We start from the raw sequence: 19,181 nt of genomic DNA on the forward strand, positions 1-19,181 counted from the left end.
GTCAAGCCACTGTGGTCCCACAGCTGCATGCAGGCACAGGGGATAGGAAGAGAGCTACCTACAGGTTACTAAACCATTCCCTTTTAAAACAGCACCAGGCTTATGTCTACTCTGCGCTTCCATTTTCTAGGTTTTAAGTGGAAGATATGTGAACACCCAGTGGGCTGGATGGCTGTCCCTGCTACAAGTCTGTGATGTCTCCGTCCAGTGGCAGAGCTGGAAGGCAGGTGCTGTCGGGGCTGCATCTGCCTTGTTCACCAGCATAGGCCTAAAACCATGGAGGGGGTGCTTTGGCTTAGATCCCCACTTGGCCTGTGTGTGTAAGAGGCTCTCAGGCACCTTAATGCTACATCACCAACCAAACCTCCTGATGATTCTTTTAGGTTCTCCGTTTCCAGGCAGATTCACTTCTGTAGATTTATTTATTTATTTTTGAGACAGGGTCTGGCTCTGTCCCGCAGGCTGGAGTACAGTGATGCAATCTCGGCTCACTGTAGCCTTGACCTCAACTTCAAGTGATCCTCCAACCTCAGCCTCCCAGTATGAGGGACCACAGGTGTGCACCATCACACCTGGCTAATTTTTGTACTTTTTGTAGAGACGGGGTCTCACCATGTTGCCCAGCTGGTCTCAAACTCCTAGGCTCAAGCGATCCACCAACCTTGGCCTCTGAAATGCTGGGATTCCAGGTGTGAAGCACCGCGCCCAGTCCCTGACTTCTGTAGACGTTTGTATTGTTTACATCTACTGTGTGCAATGTACGAGATGCAGTCAGGTGTCTGGATGGACCAGGGGATCTGGCATCTTATAGACTTGGGTTTGAACCCCAACTGAGCCATTTACTGGCTGGGTGACTTTGGGTGAGTTCTTAAACCTCTCTGACCCTTAAGGTGGTAACAGTATCACCAGTGAAGTTGGTGCACACAGCAGGGCCCAAACTGACATCTCACAGCACCCAGCAGGTCACTGTGGGCATGATAGGATGATGGGTCACTGTGCCAGCCCTGAAGGAGTTCAAGTCCAGATAGGGGAAGGTGGTGGACCAGACCCAGACAGAGATTCTGAGTCGCTGCTGAGACTGGGTGAGGGTAGTGGGTACATGGGAGGACATATAGCCCGGCAGCCCAGGGCTGGAGTCCACACTCAGGTTGGGGCAGCCTGGTCTGCCTCTCCTGCAGGAGACTTTTCCAGGCAGGCTTGTCCCTCCAGAATGCACGAATCAAATCCTCTCAGGATCAGTCTCATTTTCCTCGTGCTGGGGGAGCAGGCTACTCACAGAAGATGTTGTTGCAAATGTAAGAATCACATGTCGATCCACAAACTGGCATTGAGCAGCTACCTAGGAGATCAAAGAAACTCTTACTTTGGGAGCTCCTGCCAGGGCTCTTTGGGAGGTCTGGCTAGCTCTGGAGGAAGAGAATGAACTTGGGGAGGGCGTGGAACAGATGAGGACGCAGGCACTGCCATTCAAAGAGGAGAGGTCTCCCGGACAGGGCTGGCCTGGGCAGGCCCAGGGAGGGTGGGGCTGGAGCAGGGACTTGAAAAAGGGAGAGGGCTCAGGAGACTCAGAGGAGGAGGAAAGTGTGTGAGCAGTAGGCAGGGTGTGTGTGTGTGTGTGTGTGTGTGTGTGTGTGTGTGCACGCGCGCGCATGCAGGCCTGTGTAGGGCTGGGAAAGAACAAAGCAAAAGGGTGCACAAGGCATCCAGAAGCCAGGGCAATGCAGAACAGGAACAAAGCAGTTTGGCTCAAGGGGAAAGTTCTGATGGAAAGCAAGGAAAGAGAATGTTAGAAGGGCTGAGAGCCAGAATGCCCAGTATGGGGTACAGAGGGCAACAGAGGGGCTGATGTTGGTGGCGAGGTGGGGAGGAGCATTTCACAGGGAACTGGGCAGCTCCAAGGATGGGCTGGAGGAGGGACGGTCCTAAAGGGGGTGGTGGGAGACAGGCAGTTAGTGATGGGGGGAGAGAAATGCTCTGAGGGGGGCTGCTGTAGGCAGGGAGGGGCAGGTAGCAGGAGGCAGAGGGTTGAGCCTGCAGAAGCCCGGAGCAGTCTGTAGCTTTCTAATGCTTCCTAGGGAATTCTGCTGCTGAGTAGCCATGGGTTCAACAGGTCTCTAGGATTTGCCTTGAATTACTGCCCTGAGGCCCCCTAAGTCTGGGGTCTCATAAATTCAGCGGGGAGGGCACACCTGTGTCTGAGTCTGAGCAGCCCAGAGCCCCCAGTGTTGTCAGTGAACAGCTCACTGAACTTGCAGAGCAATTAAATCCCAGGGCAGAAGAAAGAGCAGGAGGGCAGGGTGGCCCCCAGCTCCCTCCCATCCCGGGTTTGGGGAGAGACACCTCTGGCCTGAGACTCCTCGTGGCCTCTAACAAGTCTTGCTCTCTCTCTCTTTTTTTTTTTTTTTTAAATTATTGTCTCCCGCCCTCCTTCCTTCTTCTTGGGAATCAGAAAAGAAACCTCAATGCCTGGCTTTGCCCCTCCCTGGCTGTGGTCAAGCCATGTGACATTTAGACATTTCAGAGCCTCCTGACTCCTGAGGCTGGAGACAGCATGAAGCCAAATGGGCTTGGCAAACAGAAGAGAGGGGCAGTTAACATTCTCTGCAATGCTCTCTTACTTCCCGTTTAAACACCCCTCCTACTCGGACACAGACCCCCAACCCCTGTGCCATTGTGCTCACTCCCACCTTGGAGGGGTCAGGCTGTGGTGAAAGGTCAAGGTGAAAAGTCATGATGATCCTATTGCTGCCACCTCCCTGGGGTGAGCAAGATTCTGTGGTGGCTCCAGCTCTCCCATGGCAGTCCACACAGAGGCTGTTCCAGGTTCTGGAGAGGTCACTTGGTGTGACCTGGGAATCTGCATCTTTTCTCTGCCAAAGCAGAGGGCATTGCAGCAACCACACCTGGGTCCCAGTCCTCAACAAAGTCCCTCCAGCTCCCGCTGCTGTCTGCAAGGTTTGGTCATCTGTCCCTGCATTGGAGAAGAGTTTGCACTGTGAATCTTGCCTCCACCAGGGAAGGCTGGTAAAAGTCCCTGCCCCGGGGGCCCTCATTGCTCCAGGGTGCATCTGGGGGCCAGACCTGTGGACCCTCACCCTTGAGCCTCATTTTGTTCCTCTTAGAACAAAGCCATTTCTGGTAAATAGGTTTGATGGGTTTGGCAGCAGGGAAGGCACAGAACCTTTCACGATTAGCAGGCTCATGACAATTTCTCTTTAGGCAAGAGAGAAGGTTGAGGAGGAAAGACTGGCAGGGCTTGGAGAGCTGGAAAGGAAGAAAGGCCCTACAGGCCTGGGGATCCCATCTCTGACCACCGACCCCAGCCCCCAACTCTCATAGACTCTGATTTGATATTCTTATTTACCAAAGAAGCTGCATGTATTTGCATATCAATTCTCTTTCCCATATCGACACGCAGGGAGGCTTCTTCGTTTTGGATCAACCAGAGATCACCAATGTCTGCAGGGTGCTCAGCCCCTGGTACCTTGGTCACTCTAGGCAGCCTCCTAGATGTGCCTCTTAAGATAGGTTTTCTGAAATGGGAGAGGACCACGCCCCGCCCCCCACCATGGACTCTGGAGTCTGCGGCGCACAAATCCTGCGATTTTACAGATGGGGAAACAGAGGCACGGAGAAAGTCTCAGCTTTCCCACGGCCCACTGGGACCAGAACCCAGGTCGCAGGACGGGGACAGCCACCTCCTTTTTCTCTCCTTGCAACCAGCCTGAGCTCGCTCAGCGGGTGGGGGCTGCCGCTATCCAGAGCACCCTGTTTCTGGATGCAAAATAAAGGCCCAGGCAGTGTTTGGCCCTCCTCTGCCCACAGACTTTGGCTCCAGGGCAGTCTCCGAGAGAGAAGCCTTGGGTCCCACTGGTCCGAGCTCTGCGTGCTGAGTCTAGAGGCTGCAGTCTCTAAGCCGAAACTAGCCCAGGCCTCACAGCCGCCTTCCCGCCGGTCTCCCACTGCCTTGGCGGGGCGCTGGCGCCCTCTGCTGGCCAAGTCTCGCTCTGCGCGCAAACGCCCCAGAAATCAGCCGGAAGTTCCCTGGGGCCCCACAGGAGTGAGGACCCACCTGGATTCACTTTGTCATTTTTTTTTAGCTGCATGACCTTAAGAAAGCTAATGAACCTCAGAGCACTACCTGTGAAGTGGAAATAATAGCGCCTACACTTCAGGGTCGGTGTAAGGATTGCATAGAATACCGTATAGAAAGCACCCAGCACATTGTAGGTATGTTTAATGGTAGCGATTATTAATAATGCCCAACTCACATGGTGAGATGAGATCTGAGAAGCCTCCTTATAAAGGTAAATGATAACCAAGTCTTGTTGCAAGGCAGCTGGTGTGTTACTAATACATCATGAGGTGGTGGGCCCTCTGGGGACTGTCAGGAGACAGCCTCTGTTTTATTAGGAAATAAAACAGAATCTGGTCTGCTCCAGTTTTCTTCCTTTTATTTACTGCATTAGAAAACTTTCATTTTATTTATTGCCTATTCTGGGGGTTGAGGGTGAGGGGAAGGCATGACTCCAGCCAGGTAGGATACAAAAGTATCTCACCCCCCAGGAGGGGTTTGAGGACCGGCCCTCCGGCTTTTAGAGAAGGGCAGCTGGCTTCTGTTGCTAACGATTTGGATTTGGCTTTTAACAGAATATCAAGGTGAAAGTGAAAGGAGCTTTTCACTCCTTGGAGAGTCAAGAGGGTGTGGGGTGGGACCTCCAGGGGAATGAAGAGTGAGCGAGGGTGCTGGGGGGATCCCAGACCTAGGAATCAGATCTGGGGAAGGGGTCTGCAAGACCCCTCCATGAGTCAAGAAAAGCCGGTGGGTGGATGGTGAGAAGGACCAGTGAAGACACTGTTTGCTGGAGTTGTCCCAGCCAGTGGCTATGACTGAGACTGTCCCATGGCGTGTGCCCAGGGTCCTGCCATTGGATGATGGGACATTCTTTTTTTTTTTTTTTTTTTTGAGACGGAGTCTCGCTCTGTCATCCAGAGCTGGAGTGCAGTGGCGCAATATCAAAGTCGCTGCAGCCTCCACCTCCCGGGTTCAAGCAATTCTCCTGCCTCAGCCTCCCAAGTAGCTGGGATTACAGGCGTGGGCCACCACATCTGGCTAATTTTTGTATTTTTAGTAGAGATGGAGTTTCTACTCCATCAGGCTGGTCTCCAACTTCTGGCCTCAAGTGATCTGCTGCCTCGGCCTCCCAAAGTGCTGGGATTACAGACGTGAGTCACTGTGCCTGGCCTGGATGGAACATTCTGCTCTTTCTCCATCTGCTGCCTACCCATGATGTCTTGGGACTCCTAGAACCCTAAAGGAAGCCCCTGGACACGCAGGAAGGTGTGGAGAGGAGTTCTCATACTTGCACTTGGGAGGAGGGCTCAGGAGAAACAGAGGCTGGCAACACCCCCTCACACACTGGTCCTCTGGAGGGCCAGTGTCTACAGACACTGTGGACTGAGTCCACAGAGAGGAAAGGGTCCTGCCTTCATCAGAACTGCTCAGCAAGCAGTTCCATCCCAGGGGGTCCTGCGAGGTAAGGGAGGGGCAGCTAGCTAGGTGAGGGGCTGAGAGAGTGGGGAGGGGAAAGAGGGAAGAAGAGAGTGAGAGGGAGAGGGAGGGACTGAGCCGATTCTCAGCTCCTTGACCGTTTGCTGAGCTCTGTCTGAGTGGACAGATGGTCCCAAGTCAGGCCACACCAGAGTGGCCTTTCTGCTCCCCTACACCCTGCATTCCTCAACATTGCTGGCCCCGGAGAGACTTTCCTTCAGAGAAGCAAATGGCTGGGGAATGGTGAAAGACACTGCAGAGAAAAGAAAGCACAGCCTGCTGCCCTGGGAATTAACATGATTTAGGAGACCTGCAGGTCACCCCCTCATGACTAAAAGCCATCCTGGAATGAAGGTCTGTGGCTATTTCTAGGCAAAACTGTCTGATAAGATAAAATAGCTCAACTCCTGACCATTAAGTCGTGAAGGCCATGGCCATCGTAAATCTCATCTTTCCGGCCCTCTGGCCTGCATGCAGTGCAGCCCAGCCAGTCGGTGGCAGCCACCTTGGTAGGAAGGGCCCTCATCCTCCTGGCTGTGCCCCAAGGACTGGGCAGGCTTCGGTGCCAAGGGTAGTGCGAGCACTTGAAAGCCGCCCTGTATGTTTATTGTTTTCCCCAGGTGATCCAGAATTACTCCCGAACTCTACCAGCTGAAATCCTCCTCAACTCACATCAGACAAGACGGCCCTGCCACTTACCTGTCAGATCACTTTGGGCAGGTAAGCTCATTTTCCTGAATCTTTACTTCCACACCTTAAAATGTGAGCAATACTATCTCCCTGGCAAGGTTGTTTGTGAGGGTAAAATGAAACAATAATCACGGGTGCATCCTGGAGCTCTTTCTTACAAGGCGTGCCCCCAAATCTGTCCCCTCTTTCTGAGGATGCCCTTCCCCTATTGTCTCCCTGGCCATTTCCTACCCATTCTCAAGGGCCATGATCTCAGGGAGTTCTCCTGACTCACCCAGGCATATTGGATCTCCTACGTACTGCTACGACTGCACACAGGTGCAGGAAATGGCTGTTTGCTTTGCGTTTGAGGAACTTGGAAAGGGAGACGTGGTAGGGAAAGTAGTGGTTAGGGGCACTTTCAGACTGAAGGATGTGGGTTGGGGAATACGGGATTCTTGGAGTTGAGGACGCCGCTTCTCTCGTCTCTAGCTAATGTGAGAAAGACCCTTCTGGACACTAAGCCTGCAATTCCACTGGTGGCTACCAGGTGTCCGTGGTGTCCTGGGGCGGGTGTAATGAGAGCGGGAGCCTGTGAAACCAAAAGCATTGTTTTTATAAATTCAGCACTCTTCAATCCCTATTAATAAGGTTAGCGGTGCAGTTCTTGCGTCTCCTGCCCTGCCTCACCTTGCAATCATATTCATTGGCATTCCTTTCTTCCAAGAACCCACCTAGGAGGCCTTGCAGGAGATATCTCTGGTGCTGGCTGTTCCTGCAGTCTGAAAAGCCAGTTAAGATACAAATATGTGAGAGGACACTGCTTGAATCTGATTTCATTTTTTAAAAAGTTTAATTATTCACAGACTTTGCTTCTTTCTGACTAGTAATGTGACACCTGTGACTCAGTTCAAGATGGTGTGTGGTGACCTTGCAGTTGAGAAGCACTGAGCGCTATAGCCATGCCAAGAAGGTTGCCCTCCTGGGACCAGCAAAAATTCCATCCAGGGGGCCATCTCTGTCAGGCTTGTCCTGACTATCTTTTTGGAGAGGCGGCAGAGTGGAGTGGTTAAAAGCATGATTCTGGAGCCCAGCTACCTGGGAGCAAAGCTCGTCTCTACCGCTTACCAGCTCTGAGAGCTTAGGCAAGTGACCTATTCTCTCTGTGCCTCTGAGTTTTCATCTGTGAAATGGGAGTAACAATAGTCCTGTCTCACAGGGTTGCTGGGAGGCTTGAATGAGTTAATGTCCATGGGGTGCTGAATCAGTGCCTGGCATACGGTGAAGGCCATGTGAGCAGTAAATATTATTATTATTAGAAAGGTTGGCTGGGCGTGGTGGCTCACACCTGTAATCCCAGCACTTTGGGAGGCTGAGGTGGGCAGATTACGAGGTCAAGAGTTAGAGACCAGCCTGGCCAACATGGTGAAACCCCATCTCTACTAAAAATACAAAAGACATTAGCCGGTATAGTGGTGCGTGCTTGTAGTCCCAGCTACTCAGGAGGCTAAGGCAGAAGGATCGCTTGAACCCGGGAGGCAGAGGTTTCAGTGAGCTGAGATCACGCCACTGCACTCCAGCCTGGGCAACAGAGTGAGACTCCATCTCAAAAAAAAAAAAAAAAAGAAAGAAAGAAAGAAAAAAAGAAAAGGTCCCAACCTACTCACTTATTGTTCACTTGCATCAAATGCTAGGTTCAGTGTATTGTTCTTGTAAGATTAGAAATGGAGAGATGGGTCAGAAGGGGTTGGTCAAAATAGACCTCTCAACCCAAGCAGACAGGGCTGGCTTCATGGCCGGGCAACCATGCAGGACCCAGGGCTCTAAGATAAGAAAGGCACGTAGTTTAATGCTTTGCTGTCCCATCTTGATACTGTTTTTTTTTTCTTTTTTTTTTGGAAATGGAGTTTCACTATTGTCACCCAAGATAAAGTACAATGGCGTGATCTCAGCTCACTGCAATCTCTGCCTCCTGGGTTCAAGCAATTCTCCTGCTTCAGCTCCTTGAGTAGCTGGGATTACAGGCATGTACCACCACACTCAGCTAATTTTTGTATTTTTAGTAGAGACGGGGTTTCACCATGTTGGCCAGGCTGGCTGGTCTCGAACTCCTGATCGCAGGTGATCCACCCACCTCGGCCCCACAAAGTGCTGGGATTACAGGCATGAACCACCGTGCCTAGCTGATATTCTTAATTTATGAAGGAAGGGCCCCAAATTTTCATTTTGCACTGGGCCCACAAATAACGTAGCAGGTCCCACAAACAAATTCGTCTAGATTCAGAGGGCCCCTTGCCTTCCTCCTCTGCTCACATTCGTTCCTTTCTCCCATCACAGGCGGGTACCCTACCTTGGGGGATTTGCCCCAGAATAAGCCTTTTTTTTCCCTTCTAACATTTTAATGAAAAATTTCAAGTGTATAGCAATGTTGAAAAGATTTTATAGTGAGCACCCATACACCTGCCACCCAAAGTCTACCATTAATGTCTTCTGGACTTACTTTTGCCGTCTTATTCATACTCTGCCTGGACTGTCCTCAGCTACAGGACTCACATCTCTTGCCGACAGCTCTAAGGCTTCCAGTCCTGCTGTCTGGACCAAGAAAGGCTTCCTGGGCTCTGAGTGTCAAATGGCGGCCTTCAAGGAAGGGGAATGGTGGAAAAGGCCGTGGGGGGTTTTGGAGAAATTGCTAGGGAAAGACTGGCACCAGAGTTCCACCAGCCCAGGCAATGGGGGGTACAGAACCCATAAGATGAGTTCTAGAAAAGCAAGGAAGGTTTCGTTCTGGAGTTTGTGGACTGAGGTTTCCATTTGTGACTAGGATTCTCATTGGTTCCTTATGTAGTTTCTTACGCCCTGCATAGTCTTCTAAGCATTTCTCACAGACGTGGTCTGGGGGCGAACACCAGCAGCCCTGAGAGGTGGCTAAAGAGGAGATTCTTCTCTCCACTTCACATCGTAGGAAACTGAGTCTCAGAGGTTCCTTCCCTGGCCTGCCCACAACCCCAGGGCTAAAAGAGGCAGACCAAGCCCAGGGCCTTGAACCCCAACAATGGGCCTCTTTCTTTTGATCCCATGATAGGGGTGCAAAAGCATTGCATTCCCCTGGGTAATTTGAAGAAAAAACCCAAAAAACTCCAACTTTGTCTCCAGGAAAAAGAGGGTGTCTGGGCTATGATTTACCTCTGAGGGTGTGGTTGCACTGAGCGTGATCACACTTCAAAGGGTTAGATCTCATTTCTCTGCCTTTCTAGCTTGGGCCCAGGGCTCAGAAATGTGTGGACTCCCTCACAGCCCCTCCCAGCATCCCTGCCCCCTCCCAACTGCCTTGGGCAGGTGACACCTGTATTATTGCTAAGGGTTAAAAAGCCCCCAAATCAATAAAACCCATTAATGAGTGTTGGTACCTCGAAGGCTACAGATAAATCCCTTCTACTCAGTGAGTTCAATCCCATAAAACAGCTCTCCCCTTTCAATCCTAGCATTCATTTGATAGAAAATGTGGAGAAATTTTAAAAAGGTGACTTACTAATTGCCTGTAAAATAAAAGGCAGATGGAAGCTTTATTACAGTTGAAGGAAGTCGGGAATATTAAGGTAAAATGTCAAATAACAATTGATTTTCCTTAGACATAAAGGGGCGATTTATGGCTTCCTAGTTACTACAAACGAGAAATTATTTGAAGTTCTGAAAAGTATGAGGAGAAATAAAGATTAAATAGAAGATGAAATCATAGGGATTTCTCTGGGAGGTGACTTCAGTGCCCCTGGGGACTAGAATTCATGTGGCCAGTGGCCTAGCCAGCTGGGGCTTGGCAGTTTCAAGATTTAGAGGCAAGGTGTCTCTGAGGAGCGGGGAAGTGGCTGTTTGCTTTGTGTCTGAGGAACTAGGAAAGAAAGATGAAGATAGGGAAAGTTGTGGTTAGGGCCAATTTCAGACTGAGGGATGTGGGATTAGGGGATTCTTGTGGATGGGCCTATAGCTCTGCTTCCTGACTAGCAGATACTGGGGATCTGGGGAAGGGAAGGGTGAGCTGCCTTTCCTGGGACTTCGATGGCATCCTTACAGTCAGGGGACACTGTCCTTGCTGGGTCCCGGACATCAGTGTCTATGTATCCCTGCAAGCCACAGCACTATCCAGGCCCTCTGGTGGCTTTGCTTGGTCTGGGCCAACCTGGTCTCCACACTGACAGTCAAAGACGAGGAGAGGAAAAAGAACTCACGGCTAGGCGTGGTGGCTCCTGCCTGTAATTCCAGCACTTTGAGAGGCCGAGGCGGGTGGATCCCTTGAGCCCAGGAGTTTGAGACCAGCCTGGGCAACATGGCGAAATCCCCGTCTCTACAAAAAATAGAGAACAATTACCCAGGAATGGTGGTACTCTGGAGGTTGAGGTGGGAAGATGGCTTGAGCTCGGGAGGTTGAGGCTACAGTGAGCTGTGATTGTGCCACCGCACTCCAGCATGGGCGACAGAGCAAGACACTGTCTCAAAAAAAAGGCTCATTTCCAGGCTGCCAGGCTTATGTTAGCCTGGGGTCCCGCAGGAGCTGACCTGAGACAAGTACTTGAGGGCAAGTTGTTTGTTTGAGGGATGCTCACAGGAAGCTCCAGTAGGAGGGTAGGGAGGTGACCCAGGGAAGGAAGGCAGCTTACAGGGGCGTGTTGTCAGGAAGGGCACCCCGGCGGGTGACGGAAGCTTAATTTTGCTGGGAAACTCAGGAGCCAGCATGGAACCTGCACCTCAGAGTTATCCCACTGGAAGGATGAGGGAGCGGGTACTTATACACCAACTCCATCCCCGTCCTTTGTTAAGGCTGCTGGATGGAGTGGGTGGGACACTCATTCTTCAGCACTCCCAGGGGCCCTCAGGCTGTCAGAAGTTAGGTCCGTTGGGCTCCAGGATGAGGGGACCCCCAGAAGATGCGGGAGGGCGTCCGCAGCATCTGCCTCTGTGCTTTCCCTGTTTATCTGAATCCTCATAATTCCCGCCACATGCAGATCAGAGCCCCCAGCTTTATGGAAGAGAACACAGGTTTGGAGAAGATAAAGAGCATTCCCACAACTAGGAGGTGGGGAAAGCTAGGAGTTCAGCCCAGAGCTCCCTGACTTCAAAGTCCATTCTCTTTCTACTTCCTGATTTTTTTTTTTTTTTTTTTTTTTTGAGACGGAGTTTCACTCTGTTGTCTAGGCTGGGGTGCAGTGGCACAAACTTGGCTCACTGCAGTCTCTGCCTCCTGGGTTCAAGCAATTCTCCTGCCTCAGCCTCTCGAGTAGCTGGGACTACAGGCGCCCGCTACCATGCCTGGCTAATTTTTTGTGTTTTTAATAGAGACAGGGTTTCACCGTGTTGGCCAGGCTGGTCTCGAACTCCTGACCTCAGGTGATCCGCTTGCCTTGGCCTCCCAAAGTGCTGGGATTACAAGCACGAGCCACTGTGCTCGGCCTACTTCCTGATTTTTGTATAAGACACATCCCAGCAGCATGGTAGACTGAAGACTCCTGGGCCCACTCTCAGAGATTCTGCTCTGGCAAGGATGTGTTTATTGGTGAGAGGGGTGTCCAGGAATACGTGCCTTTTTTTTTTTTTCTAGAGACAGGGTCTCGTTGTCCAGGCTGGAGTGCAGTGGTGCAATCATAGCTTACTGCAATCTCAAACTTCTGGGTTCGAGCGATCCTCCTATCTCAGCCTCCTAAGTAGCTGGGACTACAGGTGCACGCCACCATGTCTGGCTAATTTTTAAATTTTTTCTGGAGTTGGGGTCTTGTGATGTTGCCCAGGCTGATCTTTAACTTCAGGTCTCAAGAGATCCTCCCACCTTGGCCTCCCAAATTTTTGGGATTACAGCCATGAGCCACTATGCCCAACTAGAATATGCACTTTTTTTTTTTTGAGACCGAGTTTTGCTCTTGTTGCCCAGGCTGGAGTATAATGGTGCGATCTCGGCTCACCGCAACCTCCCCCTCCCAGGTCCAAGCGATTCTTCTGCCTCAGCCTCCTGAGGAGCTGGGATTACAGGCATGTGCCACCATACCAGGCTAATTTTGTATTTTTAGTAGAGATGGGGTTTCTTCGTGTTGGTCAGGCTGGTCTTGAACTCCTGACCTCAGGTGATCAGCCCCGCCTGCTTTGGCCTCCCAAAGTGCTAGGATTACAGGCATGAGCCACCAAGCCTGACCTTTTTTTTTTTTTTTGAGACAGAGTCTTGCTTTGTCACCCAGGCTGGAGTGCAGTGGCACGATCTCGGCTCACTGCAAGCTCTGCCTCCCAGGTTCATGCCATTCTCCTGCCTCAGGCTCCCAAGTAGCTGGGACTACAGGCACTTGCCACCACGCCCGGCTAATTTTTTGTATTTTTAGTAGAGATGGGGTTTCACCGTGTTAGCCAGGATGGTCTTGATTTCCTGACCTCGTGATCCACCTGCCTTGGCCTCCCAAAGTGCTGGGATTATAGGCGTGAGCCACCGTGCCCGGCCTTTTTTTTTTTTTTTTTTTTTTTTGAGACAGGATCTTGCTTGGTTGCCCAGGCTGGAGTGCAGTGGCCTGATTACAGCTCACTGCAGCCTCAATCTCCTGGACTCAAGCAATCCTCTCACCTCAGCCTCTTGAGTAGCTGGGACCACAGGTGTGTGCTACCACACCCAGATAATTTTTGTGCTTTTTGTAGAGACAGGGTTTCGACATGTTGCCCAGGCCGGACTAAAATTCCTGGGCTCAAGTGATCCTCCTGCCTCAGCTTCCCAAAGTGCTGGGATTACAGGTATGTGCCATCGTCACCAGCCAGAATATGCATTTTCTTTTTTTCAGACGGGGTCTCACTCTGTTGCCCAGGCTGGAGTGCAGTGGTGTGATCTCAGCTCACTGCAACCTCTGCCTTCTGAGTTCAAGCGATTCTCCTGCCTCAGCCTCCCAAGCAGCTAGGATTACAGGTGTCTGCCACAACACCCGGCTAATTTTTGCATTTTTAGTAAAGATGGGGTTTCACCATGTTGGTCAGGCTGATCACAAACTCCCGACTGCAAGTGATCCGCTTACCTCGGCCTCCCAAAGTGTTAGGATTACAGGCATGAGCCATTGTGCCTGGCCGAATATGCACTTTTAATAAGCATCAGCCAGGCTAGGCAGGCCGGGGGCCACACTCGAGAACATTTGCACCACAGCCACTGGCTACCTGCCCCTTTTTCCATAAGGTTCCACTGCCCTCTCTCCCCTCTATCTGGGTCTGTTCTTCAGGTTCTTCCCTGGGAGCTCTCTGAGTGACATAACTGTCCCCAAGTGCTGGGAGATGGAGAGAGGAATCACCAGACTGGAGCAGGCCCCCAGAGCGGAGATGGGAAGGGGAGGCTGGTGTTCTGAGGCTCCCGAGGCAGTGAGAGGTGACCGGAGGCAGTGAGAGGTGACCGAAGACAGTGGCTGAGAACCAGGGAGGGGCTGCGGGAAAAAGCCCTGGGTGCAAGTCGCTCTTTCCTTAGCGTCTTTGAGAGGAGGGATGGGGAAAGGTGAGGTACTAGGGAAAACCATCTGGAAGGAGGTCAGGCTGCAGAAAAGCTGCAGGAGTCTGGGGGACTAAGAAAACAGTGGGAGACCCCGCTGCAGCCCAGCACGTGAGGGTGAGAACGTCATGAATGAGGGAAGAGCAGGCAGGGGGTGGTGGCCTTGTGGCCTCTGGAGAGGAGGAGCCACATGACTCTGGGGTGATCTGGGGTGACCCTCAGGGTAAGGGTACCTCCCTAGCACTGAGTACAGAGGGAAGCCTACACTGCCAGGTGCAGTTTCCCTGGCAATGCTTCTCCTTCTAACACTATGTGAGTTTCCTAGTGCTGCTGTAACAAACTGCCATAAACCAAGTGGCTTCAGAGAACACAGACGGACTATGACAGTTGTGGAGGGAAGAAGTTTGAAAAGCGGGGTGCCCGCAGGCTGCAGTGCTTCTGCAGGCTCCAGGGAGAATCTGGTCCTTGCCTCTTCCAGCCTCTAGAGCCTGCCGCACTCCTTGGCTCATGGCCCCGTGTCATTGTAGCCTCTGCTTCTGCCATCACATCTCCTCCTCTGCCTCTCCTGCCTCCCTCTGTCCTTTATAAGAACGCTTTTGAGTATATTGGACCCATCTGGATAGTCCAGGATAAATCCCTCCATCCTCATATCCTTAATTTAATCACACCTGGAAGGTTCCCTTTGCCACATAAGGTAACATATTCACATTGGGACAGTTAGGGGATTGGGATGTGGACATCTTTTGAGGTGGGAAGAAGGAGCTGGGGTTCTTTTTAACATTTTTTTGAGACAGGGTCTCTGTCACCTAGGCTGGAGTGCAGTGGTGTGATTGAGACTCACTGCAGCAGCCTCAACCTCCTGGGCTCAAGTGATCCTCCCACCTCAGCTTCCTGAGTAGCTGGGACTACAGGTGTGCACCACCATGCCCAGATGATTTTTGTATTATTTTAATATTTTGTACACATGGAGGTCTTTTAATGCTGCCCAGGCTGGACTCAAACTCCTGGGCTCAAGCAATCCTCCCGTCTTAGCCTCCCAAAGTGCTGGGATTACAGGTGTGTGCCACCAGACCCAGCCCGGACCTGGGGTTCCTGTCTCATGTCAGCCTTAGCAATCTGGGTGACCCTGGGCAAGGCCTATCCCCTCTCTGGGCCTTTGTTTCTCCACCTGTGCAATGAGGCTGTTCCCTCTGGCTCCTTCACTCTGAGTTTTTCAGTTGGGAGAATATCTTGGCAGGGAGCAGAGGTCGGCGGGGGTGGTTGTCATTCCATTTCAGGGCCTCTCAGAGTCCTGCCGTGGTGTGCACTGTGTGTGTGTTTAATTTTCTACATTTGGATGTGATCCTAATCCAATAAATGCTTAGGAGACTTCTATAGAATAGATTAATTTTTACTAGAAAAAAATATAATTGGCTGATGTTAAGGCTACTGCCCTGACAAATCTGCCTTGGCCATATATCTGAGAAGGTAAAAGACCCGCTACGCTTGCACATAAATATGCCATCTTCCCCACAGGCCCTGGAGAAGCACCCCGGGGAGGTTTCCCTTGGTGATTTATTCTTCATTAATAAGCTCTATGCTATATTAGGATCAGATTTATGACTCTGCCTTTCTAATATTTCTGACATTTCATCTGAAAAGAATTACAAATGAAATCTTGAAACTTTGCCACTTCTCCCTGCTAGTGCTCTGGCACTCTGTGTCCAAGGGGAGATGGTGGGCTGGGGAGACCCCAAGAAGCAGGGACAGAGGCATGTTTCTCAGGGAAAGGAGCGATCAGCTTGACTTTGGGAGAGCTTTATTCAGTTTGCAAGCAGCTTGGGAGGTGAGCGGTTCAGGCGAGAAGGCTGCAGACCAGACCACAAGCCCAGCAGCAGCAGTGATGCCTGTAACATGTATGAGATGGTGGCAGGCACATTCATTCATTCAACAGCTATTTGTTAAGCACTTTACTGTGTGCCAAACACTGTGCTGCTTGGTGCTTGGGATACAGGAAAGAATAAAAGTGAAGCAGTGATGAAGATCTTGGCCTTCATGCATATGGTGTTCTAGCAGAGGTAGGGGAGTGTCAAGCACTGATGAATGAAAATCCTGAATAGGTAAAATATATCATATGTTCACACGTGGTAAGGGCTATGGCAAAACAGAAACAAACCCTCCACACAGGGAAAAGGGAACCAAGAGTGCCGGGTGGTCAAGTTGCAATGTTAATTAAGAAAGCACTTCAACTCATCAACTCAAGGAACCGTATTATCCCCATTTTACAGATGAGGACGGAGGCTCAGCGTGGATTAGGAGCTACACAAAGACACAAAGGGAACTTTGCACAACTTGAAAGTTTGCAAAGTGCCGTCTGAGCCATTAGTCTCCCTTCTCCCCACTGACTGCCCTACCACAATCACATGGGGACCATAAAAATACTGTTGCCTGGGTCCCGCTCCCCTGAGGCTTTGATTCAATTGGTTTGGATGCAGCCTGGGACTTGGCATGTGACTCTTGTGGTGCCAGGACTAAGAATCTTGTGTGAACTCCCAGCACAGCCTCTCAGGCCTCTATTTTCTCACCTGCAAGATGTGGGTAAAAATATTCACCCTGTACTGCAAGAGGATGTCAGGAGTGAAGGCAGAAACACAGCACCAGCCCTCCAGGACCCCCAACCCCTCCCCCACCCCAATCCTTCACCCCTGTTGTACCTTCTGACCTCAAAGTGGCTCTGATTATTTCACTCCCACAGGCCACTGGCTCAGAGGTATAGAGCTCACCTGTGGCAGATGGAGATGCGGATCTGAGGCTTCTGATGCTGCCACACCCAGCGGCGCCCCCCAAATTCCGGGCCCCTGGATGACATCTGGTCTGTTCCTGCAGCATCAGAGCACAATAGAGCCAGCCACCAGTCCCAGCCCTGCCTGCATCCCATCCATTCCTGGGTGCCTAACCCCGAGGATCCCCTGGCAGTATGATGCGGACCTGTCTTGGATCCCAGGGATATGCTGGCCACGGGGAGGAGCCGGAAACCAACCTTTGTGTCACTGTGTAGTGACAAGTGCCTTTGGAGGTCACAATAGCCAGTGGTGATTTCTACCACTGCCCCCAGCAGCCAAGGTGGCAGAGGAGCCCTGTCAGTCACCCCCATTCTGTTCATGGTCTCACGGTGGGCTCCACATGGGGGGTGGCAGCCCTCTCCCCCACCCCACCCGACCCCTTTCGACAGATAGGGTAATACAAATACAAATAACACCAAAAGATTGAGTTGCTGGGCAGAAAGGGACCAAAGGCCAGTGTGTGTGTGAGGGGTGGGGGCAGGGCAGGAGAGGAGCAGCAAAAGGCTGTGACCGCCTGGCTGAGCACTGGATACTCACTGAAGGGCAGGGAGGCTTCCTGGAGAAGGAGACCTGGCAGGGGCTGAGGGAGTGATGCCAGGCATGGGGGTTTGGAGGGACCCCAGGCATGGCATGCCTCCATTCCTCCCTGTGCTATCCACTCTATATAAGGGGTGCTGTGCAGGGAGACAGCTTGCATCCAAGCAGGGAGGCAGGGAGGATGAGAGGCAGAGAGGAGCCCAGCTGGGTTGATGGAAAGTCTGGGAAATGCAGGAAATCCAGGAGGGGGAGAATGATTCCAAGCTGTGGCCTGTGATGGGCCTTGAAACCAGGTGTAGGCACTTGGATCTGATCGCTGGGGAGCCAGAGCTGCTTCCTGAGCAGCAGAAGGGCAGGATGCGAATCAGACTAGGGGCAGTGGGAGGAACTGAGAGGCCTCAGGTCACCGGAGAAAATGCACAGGGCCGGGAGGCAGAGATGCTCCTGTTTTCTTGCTCTGGGGCTCAGGACAGTCAGTCACCCTGAGCTTCAGACTCAGCTCACTCATTTTGCAGAGATCCTGACGGCGATGCTTCAGGATGATCTGGGAAGAGTCAATGAGGTAAAATATGTGAAATATGCCTTGAAAACTACAAACCACAGCACATGTTCTGTTTTTGCTTCTGCTTGATGGACTCAGTGAGATGGTGGGGACAAGAATTAGAGAAGCCCATGAGGAGGCCAAGGGGCACCAAATAGACCCACCAAGGACCAGTGGGGACTTAGAGAAAGGATGAGTCAGAGAGAAATGACAGGAGCAGAAGGCAGGCCTTGTATGGAGGATGAAGGTGAAGATCATACACCATTAAACTTGAGAAAGAGGCGGGAGGAGCTGCCATTTCTTGAGTCTACTGGATGCCAGCAGTAGTGCTGGGCAAGGGCTTAACAGGTGGGGAAATCGAGGCACAGAGAGGTTAAGTAGCTTGCCTAAGATCACCCAGTTAGTAAGTAGCAGAGCCTGGCAGCTTAACTCCAAAGTCTTTGTACTAAAGCCAGATTTTCCAAATTTGCCCAACTGTAAGAATCACCTGGGCCTGTAATCCTAGCATTTTGGGAGGCTGAGGTGGGTGGATCACCTGAGGTCAGGAGTTTGAGACCAGCCTGGCCAACATGGTGAAACCCTGTCTCTACTAAAAATACAAACAATTAGCCGGGCGTGGTGGCAGGTGCCTGTAATCCTGTAATCCCAGCTACTTGGGAGGCTGAGGCAGGAGAATTGCTTGAACCCCAAAGGTGGAGGTTGCAGTGAGCTGAGATTGCGCCATCGCACTCCAGCCTGGGCAACAAGAGAGAAACGCCATCTCAAAAAAATAAAAGCCCGGGAGTTTATTACAGATGCATATTCCCAGGCCCCTCCTACGGAGGTTTTGAGTTAGTGAGTCCAAGGCCTTCTGCCTCTTCCCAATGTATTCATTATGCACCATCATTACTCTTGTTCAGATACAATGTGAGTGATAGCTTGTCTCTGGCAGCACAGCAGCCACACCCAACCAATCCAGACCTCAGTCATGAGGGTGCCAATCACAGCTAACATTTTTTTTTTTGAGACGGAGTCTTGCTCTGTCGCCCAGGCTGGAGTGCAGTGGCACGATCTTGGTTCACTGCAGCCTCTGCCTCCTGGGTTCAAGCGATTCTCCTGCCTCAGCCTCCTAAGTAGCTGGGATTACAGGCACCTGCCACCATGCCCGGCTAATTGTATTTTTAGTAGAGATGGGGGTTTCACTATGTTGGCCAGGCTGGCCTTGAACTCCTGACCTTGTGAGCCACCTGCCTCAGCTTCCCAAAGTGCTGGGATTACAGGTGTGAGCCACCGCACCTGGCCCACATAGCTAACATTTAATCAGCACATACAGGGCCATGCTCATCATTTTTTGCGCACAATGCCATTTAACCTTCACAACAGCCTGTGAGAAGGTGTGTTAGCCTCATTTTACAGAGGAAGAAACTAAGGCCCAGAGAAGTTATGCAACTTGCCCAAGGACACACAGCTTGAAGGAGCTGAGGTTTAACCCGTTTCTACGGGGTCTGAATCCTCCTTACCACCCCTATCTCCCCTGACTCCCAGGTTGTGTTTGGTGTACTTGGGTAGTGTCCAGCTGACAAATGAGATGTT

General features: G+C 51.5%; 2 long non-coding RNA genes across 4 annotated transcripts in view, besides 4 other annotated features; one reads left to right on the top strand and one right to left on the bottom strand.

Annotated features, from left to right (window-relative positions):
• Positions 1-19,181, top strand: part of LINC02594 (long intergenic non-protein coding RNA 2594) — a 41,895-nt gene that overhangs the window by 9,231 nt on the left and 13,483 nt on the right. Inside the window, exons 1-2 of one of the 2 annotated variants that reach the window (NR_184090.1) lie at positions 4,968-5,341; positions 6,172-6,271. This is a non-coding gene — a long non-coding RNA (long intergenic non-protein coding RNA 2594). Of the gene's footprint in view, positions 1-4,967; positions 5,342-6,171; positions 6,272-19,181 lie in introns of those variants that run through there. The other variant, NR_184089.1, reaches the window with a different exon arrangement.
• LOC107985085 (uncharacterized) lies at positions 896-16,669 on the bottom strand. Of its 2 annotated transcripts, none has more exons than XR_001752895.2 (3): positions 16,472-16,669; positions 2,688-2,971; positions 896-1,339 (listed from the first exon to the last, which is right to left on the bottom strand). It is a non-coding gene; the product is annotated as an uncharacterized LOC107985085 (long non-coding RNA). The 2 variants fall into 2 exon arrangements; XR_001752894.2 differs by lacking the exon at positions 16,472-16,669 and adding an exon at positions 6,911-6,998.
• Positions 3,441-4,205: an enhancer, noted in NCBI's record as "H3K4me1 hESC enhancer chr17:41754903-41755667 (GRCh37/hg19 assembly coordinates)". NCBI's record gives its function as "activates a minimal SCP1, AML or CMV promoter by ChIP-STARR-seq in naive H9 embryonic stem cells {active_cell/tissue: H9 hESC(naive)}" and the evidence as "EXISTENCE:reporter gene assay evidence [ECO:0000049][PMID:30033119]".
• Positions 3,702-3,821: an enhancer, noted in NCBI's record as "active region_12247". NCBI's record gives its function as "activates an Ori minimal core promoter by ATAC-STARR-seq in GM12878 lymphoblastoid cells {active_cell/tissue: GM12878}" and the evidence as "EXISTENCE:reporter gene assay evidence [ECO:0000049][PMID:35858748]".
• Positions 16,498-16,998: an enhancer, noted in NCBI's record as "H3K4me1 hESC enhancer chr17:41767960-41768460 (GRCh37/hg19 assembly coordinates)". NCBI's record gives its function as "activates a minimal SCP1, AML or CMV promoter by ChIP-STARR-seq in primed H9 embryonic stem cells {active_cell/tissue: H9 hESC(primed)}" and the evidence as "EXISTENCE:reporter gene assay evidence [ECO:0000049][PMID:30033119]".
• Positions 16,999-17,499: an enhancer, noted in NCBI's record as "H3K4me1 hESC enhancer chr17:41768461-41768961 (GRCh37/hg19 assembly coordinates)". NCBI's record gives its function as "activates a minimal SCP1, AML or CMV promoter by ChIP-STARR-seq in primed H9 embryonic stem cells {active_cell/tissue: H9 hESC(primed)}" and the evidence as "EXISTENCE:reporter gene assay evidence [ECO:0000049][PMID:30033119]".

Source organism: Homo sapiens, chromosome 17, assembly GCF_000001405.40.
Source record: "Homo sapiens chromosome 17, GRCh38.p14 Primary Assembly".
NCBI lineage: Eukaryota > Metazoa > Chordata > Mammalia > Primates > Hominidae > Homo > Homo sapiens.